This window comes from Homo sapiens, chromosome 5, assembly GCF_000001405.40.
Source record: "Homo sapiens chromosome 5, GRCh38.p14 Primary Assembly".
Classification (NCBI taxonomy): Eukaryota; Metazoa; Chordata; class Mammalia; order Primates; family Hominidae; genus Homo; species Homo sapiens.
Window position 1 is genome coordinate 53,045,506 of NC_000005.10, and position 12,003 is coordinate 53,057,508.

At 35.9% G+C, this 12,003-nt stretch overlaps 1 protein-coding gene across 6 annotated transcripts in view; it reads left to right on the forward strand.

Moving 5' to 3' along the window:
• ITGA2 (integrin subunit alpha 2) overlaps positions 1 to 12,003 on the forward strand; it is a 105,428-nt gene that overhangs the window by 56,154 nt on the left and 37,271 nt on the right. For all 6 annotated transcript variants that reach the window (NR_073105.2, NR_073106.2, NR_073103.2 and 3 more), the window contains 5 exons: positions 2,858 to 2,972; positions 3,138 to 3,265; positions 5,906 to 6,054; positions 10,033 to 10,183; positions 10,479 to 10,644. Coding sequence is in view for 1 of the 6 variants with exons in the window: in NM_002203.4 (NP_002194.2) it covers positions 2,858 to 2,972; positions 3,138 to 3,265; positions 5,906 to 6,054; positions 10,033 to 10,183; positions 10,479 to 10,644 (709 nt within the window). In the remaining 5 variants the exon portion in view is untranslated. The remainder of the gene's footprint in view (positions 1 to 2,857; positions 2,973 to 3,137; positions 3,266 to 5,905; positions 6,055 to 10,032; positions 10,184 to 10,478; positions 10,645 to 12,003) is intronic.

The window sequence follows — 12,003 nt, forward strand, 5'->3', positions numbered from 1 at the left end:
GAGCAGTCTCTCATGTCAGTGCTCACTTTCATTTAGTTACAAAAAGAGTAAAAAGACATCACTAATCAGTGAAATAGAATGCCTTATTTAACAAGTGCTTTTGGAACAATTAATTGATTAATATTTACATATCCAAATACACTGTCAAGTGAATTGAAAGTTAATATAAAAAAACTAGAAAAAAATGGAAATTTTCTGAAGGATGGAAAAATTTCTGAGTTTAGAGCTAATAGAAAAAATAATATAGGAAATTGTTGAAAGGATTTGACTATATAAAAAAAGGGAAAAACATCACACACCAAAAAAAAAGTTTGAAGACAAAAACACAATCTTATTTGAAATTTCCATTGACTCATATAGGTATGTGTATGTATGTATAACCCTGTTAAAATTGTCTTAGAGAGGTTGGGCGCGGTGGCTCATGGCTGTAATCCCAGCACTGTGGGAGGCTGAGGCAGGTGGATCACATGTGGTCAGGATTTCGAGACCAGCCTGGCCAACATGGTGAAACCCCATCTCTCCTAAAAATGCAAAAATCAGCCAGGAGTGGTGGCACACACCTGTAATCCCAGCTACTCGGGAGGCTGAGGCAGGAGAATCACTGGGACCCAGGAGGCAAAAGTTGCATGCACTGAGCCGAGATCGTGCCACTGCACTCCAGCCTAAGCGACAGAGTGAGACTCTGTCTCAAAAAAAAAAAAAAAAAAAAAGAAAAAAAAGTCTTAGACAGCATAATTCAACTTTACACTAGTTTTATCTGAACCATTGGCACGCTTTCTTAAAAATCCTATGTTTTATAACTGTATTATTCTAAAAATGTAATCAATTTTCAACGTCATTCTATTTTTACTAATGGATATTATTATTCTGATGACTGTGCTGCCAGTAAGTGAATTAGATATTGCTTGTGATATGTGTTAACATCAGTGCATAAATGAATATTGCAATGGATCTTTATGGTTTATGATATTCCAAGGTCTTTACAATAAGGTTGCTTTAATCTTTTTGTTTTTTGATTTTAAAGTTGCAAAAATTTAAAAAAAGAACATACTGATATTTAGAGATTACAGAATGTGCCTCAAAATTTTTAATCTATAACTCCAGATAAAGTAAAAAATGAAAGGTAAAAAGCAAGAGAATTTGAGAGATTAATTAGCAGTCCAGGTAGCAAGCAGAGAGGCAGAAAGAGAGAGAGGAGGAGAAAGAAAAAAAGAAAAAACCCAAAGTTTCCTTTACATACTTAGAAGGTCAAAATCATAAGATACTCTTAAGAATTATGTGGAAAAGACTGACAATCATCACATTTTTTTGAAACTTCTTAAGTTCTGGGCTTAAAGTAGGAATGTAGTTCTGGCACTTACAATTGGCATATTTTAATTTCAACTTCTTAATGCTGTTTTCCATTGCTTTTAAAACAAAAAAAAATTTTGAATACTTCATGAGTTCTTTTTCAAAGTGATTTTAAAAAAAGCTTAGGAATGGGGATATAGAAACCAATAATTAGTATCTGTTATTTGGTAAACTAACCAAAGACATTAATAATGACTTTCTTCTAATTAATTGGCAAAATAAATCAGTTTTATAGGGAGAAAACTATGCCTTGTTCATTGCACATGAAATATGGCCAAAGCTGCTTCCCCTTTGACAGTTAAACTGGGTCAAATAAGTTTTCTTTTATTTTTCCAATTACTTCTTGCAAGCCCATACTCTTCTGTTCAGTTTTATAACTGATTCACAACTTTACATAACGTTAAATTCTGTAGGCATTTTTTAGGATCTTAATTAGATTTCTCTTTTGCACTTGTCTCCTTTTTCATGTATCAATTTTAAAGTTATTTAATCTAATGTTTCTTGTGTCATTTAATCATGATTTAATCAGGAGTTTTTGGCATTCAAGGACTCCTGAAAAGGAGAGAATTGGGATTGCATTAATGGAGATATTAAGGATTGGAGCAGGTATAATGTGAGCAAGAAGACAAGTGCCATTCAGCGTTAGTGACTGCAGTTAATTGGGAAGTGGCCAAAGTTAAAAACTGGTAGTCAGTGAACCTCATTTGTGTTTGCTTAGCATATGGAGTAATTTTGAACTGAATTTTCACACAACATTTGCCCTCTCGACTCTCTTTTACAAATTAGGGAATCTGGCAACACAACCTATTTCATACCCGTGGGCAGGCAGAAAACATAGTGGTCTGTACATAGGCATGGGTTCTTCATTCACCATGATGTCTATACCTGACCCCAAGCCCTCTTCAAGCGTTACTGCCATTAGGTTTATGGTTTCTGCTGAGCAGTATGAATGGAAGGAACTGCAGAAAACTAATGTTCAGCAAGAACAATGATAATGATGCTAGCTAACAATATTATATGGCATTTGCTATTTACCTGGCATTGTTCTTAGTGTTTTGTATCTATAGACCCATTTAATCTTTACAACAATCTTAAAAGATAGAATGTGTGGTTATCCTCATTTTACAGATGAATCACCTGAGGCCCAGGTAAATGAGAGACAAAAAGTGAACCTGCATGCATTCTCCTCCTTGGTGTTCTCTGGAAGGAAAGCACCTGTTTTATCTAGCTTGTTGGGAGACCTCATAGGCTCCTCCCTTCACTGACACCTGCTCCCAACAGTCTCAGCACTCCTCCTCCCGCAAGGCTTGCCACTGGGCACAGAGCACCTGCCACCTTCTCCATCACTTCTGCTTTCCCCGAAGGCATTACTGACTCATTGGTTTTGAGTTGACAATTATTAGTATCTTAGAAAAGAGTAGAGATGATTTCTGAGCTCCATAATGGAGAGGTAGAAGGTTTGCATTTTTCATGTGTTTCCATTGATTGTTTTCTCATTTCTTTGAAGACATGTGGTCCTCTGTGGGCACAGCAATGTGGGAATCAGTATTACACAACGGGTGTGTGTTCTGACATCAGTCCTGATTTTCAGCTCTCAGCCAGCTTCTCACCTGCAACTCAGCGTAAGTTATTAATGTGCAGATGGTCTGAGCAATGCCTTACAGTTAAAGGAGGGGGAAAAGGTTATCAACTAGTGGCACCCAAACCCTCCTTAAGTCTCATTTTTATATGGCTGTGAAATATGACTTACCTGTGGAAATCTGCTTCTTTCCTCTTTTCCTGTGTAGCCTGCCCTTCCCTCATAGATGTTGTGGTTGTGTGTGATGAATCAAATAGTATTTATCCTTGGGATGCAGTAAAGAATTTTTTGGAAAAATTTGTACAAGGCCTGGATATAGGCCCCACAAAGACACAGGTATGGCTAACAGAAATGCATAACTAACTTATGGCTTTCTTTCTGAAAAAAATATTGTTAGCTATGAAGTCTTAATTTTTGTATTTGCCAAATCCCCATTTTAAATGCATTTGATGGTAGTTTTTAAAGTTAATTGAAACTTTTACTACATTGGGTTATTCTACCTATGGCTTTGCCCAGTGCTGGTCTTTTGACCTTAGAGTTCTATTTCTGACACAAGCATTAAAGGTATGGGACATAACTTTTTTTTTTTTTTTTAAGACCAAGTCTTGCTCTTGTCACCTAGGCTGGAGTGCAATGGCACGATTTAGGCTCACTGCAACCTCTGCCTCCTGGGTTCAAGCGATTCTTTTGCCTCAGCCTCCCGAGTGGCTGGTATTACAGGCTCCTGCCACCACACCCAGCTAATTTTTGTATTTTTAGTAGAAACAGGATTTCACCATGTTGGCCAGGCTGGCCTTGAACTCCTGACCTCAGGTGATCCACCTGCCTCAGCCTCCCAAAGTGCTGGGATTACAGGCATGAGCCACCATGCCCGGCCAGGATATAACATTTTAATCTTCCTTTAGTTTCCTGTCTTTCCCTTCTAACCCATGAGTTACATTTTAAAATTCAATATGTATTTTTATGTCCATTTGGACCAATAATTAATTTCTTTTGTTTATTCCTTGCTGGTAAAACAATTATTGAATTCTGAAATTTGTATAAATAAGTCACTAAGCATAGTTCCAGCATTTATGATAATATTTTATAGTTATTTATCATATTCCAGTTTAGCTTGCCCTTTTGCCTACAGAAAAGGTCTTTTCAATAATTTTATATAGTTCTTTATATTTTAAGAAGTCTTTAATTTGCTTTTACATCTTCTTGAGGTAGGCACCTAAAGCTCAATAGTATTATTTTAAAGTTCAGTTTCTGGTTTTGGATTTTTTTTTTCCTTTCTGATTGAATCTGCCATTTCCTGAGCCATTCTGGTTGTAGCAGTATACTGAACCAGTGTCAACCCGGACCAGTTCACTGTTACCAGTGTATGCTCATGGATTGCATCTTATACTCTAATGTCCAACATCTAATACAAATTGTTGACATATTTTTCCCTAAATGCTTTCCAGCTATCTTTATTGAAATTTGCTTCTCTGCTTTCCTGTTCACTATTATAACATGTTGTTATATGTTTCTCCCATTGAAATTGCTTTTCAGTACCAAGAGTATCTCAATACCCACAGAAGCTTTGGAAATTTCCCTGTGGGCATTTTCCAGGACATTCCGCTAAATAAAACTACATATAGCACTGGTTTCCAGAAAGCACCACTCTTAAAGCCCCTTATAAGTTTTCATATGTATCTCCTTATTTCCTCTGTTTCTAAATGAGTTACCCTCATAATGTGACTAATTTTATTTAAGTCTCCTATATAGAATTCACAGTCTTCCTCTTTTGTGTCTTCCTACCACAGTGCATCTGATTCCTCTCTAGAAGTGGTTTAACTCAATCTCTTTTCTTACAGCCTAAATTTGACCTTCCTGTAAGTTCTAACCTACCACATTTCTTTAAATCTTTTTTCTTCTTTTTCACACAGAAGTCCTGGGGCTCTGTCGTGGGATTACTACCATCTTCCTCTCGTATTGGACTTTGAAATTCTCAGTTATTTTTTATTCTTTCCTCCCTCTCAAGTCTTACATCCCTAGAGAAAGGGGTCCAGGAATATTATATTTCTCACTATCTTCCCAGTGCCTAGCTCACTGCTCCCTTGGCAAAACACAGCAGATGGAACTCAGAAATCCAGTCCTCACCGCTTCCACCTCCTTACATACTGACCTGTATTTCAGAGAGCCTCTTATTGCCATTCAGAGATCCCTCACTGCCACTCCTGTTCTGGAAAGCCCATCTCCTAGGCTTAGAGGATGATCTCAATGCCTGCAAACAAGGACATTAACAGAAGGGTGTGACCTTATTGATCTCTAGGATTAGGGAATGCTCCCAAACATCTTGTTCAGAAATTCTTTCAAATAAGATGCTCTCCAGTGGCATTTTCTCTGAAAGCCAGAAACTCCCTGCCCCATATGCACATATAGCATCTTCTTTCCAGTGTTGTTGAAGCCCATAATAGAGGAAATTCAGCACAATAAATAGACCTCAATTGACTACGCTGATTAGGAGCACATTGGTTTTTGTTGTATTCAATTCTAATTATTTATTACACAGTTACCATCCTTTGATGAGATGTTACTCTTCATCTGTGATTGCTTATAGTTGTTCGCGAGCTTCTGTCCATTGGTAATTAGAAAGTTTATTTATATCAAGTTTAATCTTCCTGTTAAAAACAGTGTTCTAATAGTCATCCATATTAAAATATTATATGGCAGTATTAAAAACTACAAATATTACTCTTGGGAATCAAATCATACACTGTAGCACATCATCTTTCTTGGCAATAGTACTGCTGTTGTACACTGATGGCCTCTAACAGAGAAGAAATCATTCCATTGAAAGAAAAGTAACTATCAAGAACAAAGTTGGAAGTGATGCCTTAAAGCTACCGGCCCATGTCTAAATGTACTTTTGATTTTTATTTTATTGGTTAAGTAGAAATTATTTTTAATGTAATGACAGCCCATTAATAAATGTCTCCTCTGTTGAAGGTGGGGTTAATTCAGTATGCCAATAATCCAAGAGTTGTGTTTAACTTGAACACATATAAAACCAAAGAAGAAATGATTGTAGCAACATCCCAGACATCCCAATATGGTGGGGACCTCACAAACACATTCGGAGCAATTCAATATGCAAGGTAAGTTTTGGTGCTAATAGGCCAATGTTTTCATAATGTAAAACATTATATTTATGTAATAAATATGAAAAAGTAAGGAAAAGACAAAGAAAAATAATATACCTGGTACCTAATTTAAATCAGAACTAATAAAGAAAAAAACATCAGAGCATTCTATGTCTTGAATACTTTGAGAAGGCAGCTGGGAAAGTTAAATCTTTGATTTTAGGATATTTATAAGATATCACATGATATTTAAATGAATTTATGTGAAGTAAATGAAATGAGAAGACCTTAGATTAAAACAGTAGGAAATGGGGCAATCTGTCATAATTTGTTAATATTCATCAGAGATTCAGACAAATTGAGCTCATGGATCACTTGGTGCAAATTAACAAAGACCACAGAATCTTAAACATACGAGTTTAAGTTTATTATGCTTATTACAATCAGTGGGAAATGTGAAATTATAACTATACAGGACTCTCTTGATTCTTATCTCAATTTCTCTATTTTCTCAGATCCACTGACCTTTCTTTTCACTCTATTTTTTATTTTATTTTTATTATACTTTAAGTTCTGGGATACATGTGCAGAACGTGCAGGTTCATTACATAGTATACACATGCCATGGTGATTTGCTGCACCCATCAACCCATATCTACATTAGGTACTTCTCCTAATGCTATCCCTCTCCTAGTCCCCCACCCCTTGACAGGCCCCAGTGTGTGATGTTCCCCTCCCTGTGTCCTCATTGTTCAATGTGCTCTCATTGTTCAGCTCCCACTTATGAGTGAGAACATGCAGTGTTTGGTTTTCTGTTCCTATGTAAGTTTGCTGAGAATGATGGTTTCCAGCTCCATCCATGTCCCTGCAAACCAGATACCTTCACAAAAATGCTAAACACACTCCGGTTGTTAAACAAATTAATGAGAACAACAAGCTTGCCTTCCCTTAAACCTATTCTCTCTCTTTGTCTTGTGCATTCCTTCTTTTTACCACCATAATTCTTTTTGAAAAAAGCAACTCTATTCCCTCCCTCTACTTCCTTGAAACTTACAGTTCTGCCACTAGATAAGCATGACCCTCTTCATCCCCCAACCCTGTGGTCCCACCTTAAACCTCATCCTTTCTGGCTCCTCTGAACATTTGATAATGATGAACATACGCTGCTATTCCTAACCAAGTTGCCATGACACCACAAACTTCTCGAACTCCTGCCAAATTCTTTTGCCTCTTCACTAGCTCCTTTTCCTATTTTTTCTTCACTAAACAGAGCCCTCTCTTCTTTACTGCTCTTCTCCTGTAGGGATTCTATCCACTGTCATGGCATCAGCAGCAGCACTGTTGGGTTATCTCATTGCTATGTTGTCAGCCCTACACTCTCTCCCAAAACTCACACTGGCATCTAGCTGATGATGAATATTTTTATTTGGAGTGTTGGCTCACTTACCAAATTCAATCTGTCCCACACTGGCCTTATTCTTTTCCCTACCACTCCTCATGAACTTGCCATTTTGATTCATGCCACTGTCTCTTGCCTAGTCAGTCGAACTAAAAATTTGGTTTCCTTTATTCTTTCCACTCTTCCTTATGTCACACATCTGGTCAGTGGCCACATCCTGTCATTTCTATTTCTGCATTTCCCATTTTATCTGTCTTCTTTTTCTGTGTGTGTATTTCAGTTGCTACTTCCGTCAACTGGTGACAATCCCAAATGTCTCAAAAGCAGATTCCCCACAAGAGAAGATATGATTGGTTTGGTTCATCATTACTGTCTCTATTCAGGGACAATAAAGGTTTTTTGGGCCAGGCCATCTCATAAGCTGCTGGCCAGTCAATAGGTCAGCTGCCATTAGGTGAAGCGCCCTTTCTGGACACAGCAAACTGGACTAAAAGGACAAAGAAGTTGAGATGAAAAATGGCTTTCCTGGAGTTAGAAACTGCAACGGCCCGGTTTTCAGCAGGGAAGGTGGGAGTAGCATTTTTCCCTGGAAGGAGCCTGGGGCCCTGGCGAGCTTTGTTCTCCAGGACAATGGCCACTGTCCATTGAGGAAGGACTTGCCTGGCTTTCATCATGTTTCAAAACTTTGGTTTTCTCCCTTGGGCCATTGTCTATCTCCCTCTTCCCACTATTTCCCAAGCTAACAGGTTTTAGTCTGCCCAGTGCTAGGAGAATCACCCAACATTTTACTCATCCCTCCTAGAATGTAATTGCCTGTCTCTCTCTCTCTGTCTGTCTCTCATCTCTTTCTTTAAAACATTGAAGATAATCTGAAATTATTTCAGTAATTGTTGCCATGTTTTCATTCACCTCATTTCATTCAATGCCTACAGTTGCAGTTTATTGTTTTAAGCACTGCGGGTAATTAAAACTAAATGAGACACAGTTTCTGTCCTCAAAAACCTTAGAATCATACATGAAATTTACAGTGTATCATAAAGAGAATGTGACACTCAGAAAGGATCTGATGTGGATAGTGTAATTCAAATTTGGCCGAAAAATGCAGAATATTTTCTATGTTTCTATAGTCTACATTATAGAATACAAAAAAGATTTTAGGAAATAAAATGATATGCTCAGTTTTATAATAAACTGAAACTCATATGTTTAAGATTCTGTGGCCTTTGTTAATTTGCACCAAGTTATCCATGAGCTCAATTTGTCTGAATCTCTGATGAATATTAACAAATTATGACAGATTGCCCCATTTCCTACTGTTTTAATCTAAGGTCTTCTCATTTCATTTACTTCATATAAATTCATTTAAACATCATGTAATATCTTATAAACATCCTAAAATCAAAGATTTAACTTTCCCGACTGCCTTCTTAAAGTATTCAAGACATAGAATGCTCTGATTTTTTTCTTTATTTGATACTATCTATTAAAATTTGAATTGTGTGTATCCTGTGTCCCAATAATTTTACTGCTAAGATTTTATCCCATTTGAAAAAGTATGCCAAGATATATACACAGGGATATTTATTACAGCCTTACTTGTAAAACTCAAAATGTCCTAAGCATCCAATAATGGGGAACCGGTTAAATAAACCAGTCTTCCTTCATATGGTCCTCCAAATAAAATATTATGCAGACATTTAAAAAAAGAATGAGACCTTCATGTATATACATGTGCTGATATGGAAAGGTCTCCATCAAAGTAAAAAACAACTGTTTAGAATATGCCCTCATTTGATGCAAAGGCATAAGAATGATACAGTGGACTCTGGGGACTCAGGGGGGAAATGGTGGGAAGCGGGTGAGGGATAAAAGACTACAAATTGGATTCAGTGTATTCTGCTCAGGTGATGGGTGCAAATCTCACAAACCACCACTAAAGAACTTATTTATATGACCAAATACCACCTGTTCCCCAAAAACCTATGGAAATAAAACATTTTTTAAAAAAGAATATGCCCTCATTTGAGTAAAAGTTTAAGGGGTAGACTATGCCTGTACCTATATTACATCTAAATAAAACATTTTCTAGAAGGAAATGCAAGAAACTGATAATGGTGCTTACCTGTGGAGAGGGGTTTAGTGTCACATTTGGTTTATACCTTTCCAAATACTTTGATTTTTTTTTAACTGTGGATATCTATTACTTTTAAAAAAATAAGTATTGATAAAGTAAACACAAGACTAATGCATAAAATTTATAACAGAAATATCTTTGCTTTATTAATTCATACTGATTAATTCAACTTTCTTAGAAGAAAAGAATTCTAAGGAATACTGGGATAAATACATGCACACATATACACACATATGCCCTGACACACAAGACATTGTTTTTAATGTCAAGCAAGACTTCCATTTGTATATGTTTCTCTACAAGCTACAAATGGAACATTAAATATGTCCTCAGAATTAATATGGAGTTACAATAGATTGTGTTTAAAGAAGCTAGTTTCATGTTTCTATTTTAAACCAGAGGTTCTCATATTAACTTCATATTTTGATAGCAAGTCTTTATTTAATTTTATCTGCCACAGAAAATATGCTTATTCAGCAGCTTCTGGTGGGCGACGAAGTGCTACGAAAGTAATGGTAGTTGTAACTGACGGTGAATCACATGATGGTTCAATGTTGAAAGCTGTGATTGATCAATGCAACCATGACAATATACTGAGGTTTGGCATAGCAGTAAGTGGCTTTTCTTTTCACTTGTCTTGCCGCTATTGGGTAAATCTTTCTTTATAGCATCACTTCTCAAGGCTGCACTTTCCCATTGGCTGTTCATAGTTGAATATAAAAGAAAGTTCTTACTCTATCTCTGCTTCTTGATGATTTTCAATCCTGTCTACTAAATAAAGGGTTATGGAAATGTTGCTTGATTTACTTTTCCAGAGGGAATATTGTGTTCAAAATAGGCTAGAATGTACTCATAGGGAAAATGTACAGCAGTAATGACTGCACATTCTCTTCCTCTATTTTCAAGGTTCTTGGGTACTTAAACAGAAACGCCCTTGATACTAAAAATTTAATAAAAGAAATAAAAGCAATCGCTAGTATTCCAACAGAAAGATACTTTTTCAATGTGTCTGATGAAGCAGCTCTACTAGAAAAGGCTGGGACATTAGGAGAACAAATTTTCAGCATTGAAGGTAAAAAAAATAACCTCCTTTCAAGAATTTTCTTCAAAATGTTTAAATAATTGTTTATTATCACATATTTGCTTTACTAATGTTAACTTGTATACCATGTATAAAAAGAGCTACTACAATCAGTAAGAGAAATGGATGAAAAACATGAATAAATAGTTTATAAATGATAAAATACAAATGACTGATAAACATAAGAAAATATTCCCAATTTACAAAGTATATTTCTAAATACTTTCAGTAAGTATTTAAAAACATAAATTAAACCGACAATATGTTTTGCCTAAAAGATGACACAGAATAATAATGTTTAATCCTGGAGAGATTATCAGGAAGCAAAGAAGCTCATACACTGTTGATAGGATGATAAATTGTTATGACTTTTGGGGGACAATGTATGAATATCTATCTATTAGAATCATAAATAGTTTTACCTTTTTACACTGTGTTATGTAAGTTCTAAAATTCTTGAATTTGTTTACAGTAAGCATATATATTTTTAAAATTAGAAAAATACAGCAAAGATTTTTAATAGTTCAGTTTTTGAGGAAGCATTTTATTTATAGGACCTAAAATAATTTACTTAGGTGGCCTTGGAAAATCTAGTTAGTGCAGAAAGATCACGTGTTCAGGAGCTCACTGTGTGGGGGACTAGCACACACTTCACAGTTGGTTAAAAGAAAAAAAAAACACACATCACCCAAATCCTAGTTCTTGATGGTTAACCCGAATAACTCTTTGCAATAAAGACCATATGTTATTGGAAACCTATGTATCAGGTACAGCCTTAGAGTCTGGGGCTAAAGGAATTGCATAAATTATTCATTCATATACTCAAATCTTGATTTGATTATCCATTGGAATTACCCAAAAAGCATTATTGCTTCTTCAGTATCCCATGGTGCTTCAAAGTTGTTTAAATAACCATTTAAATCCAGCATACCCTGAGATAACACAAAATCACTAGGCTATCCACACTGATAATTGTATTTGTTTGTAGTGGAATGAATGAGAACAATTGCAATCTACAAGCTAGCTAGAAATGATTTTGAGCATTATTTGCTATTATGGACTTTGGGGAACATTATTCTATTTTATTAAAAAGTATCTCTACTCATCCTGTGTAAATTATTTTATCTTCTAAATAAGACTATGTTGTACAGTACAGTTTGTCTTCTTTTCTATATTAAAGTGTGAGTCCAGTAATTTAGCTTCCTTTTGTGAAGATTAGTGAAACGTAGCCATTTTGATCACACTGTATGGAAAATAAGTACCAATTGCATCTTACAGTGTTAGTGACACAGGCAAGCACATATACAGAACCAGAACAAACTTCCCAATTGGTAAAATTCCTACTCAGTC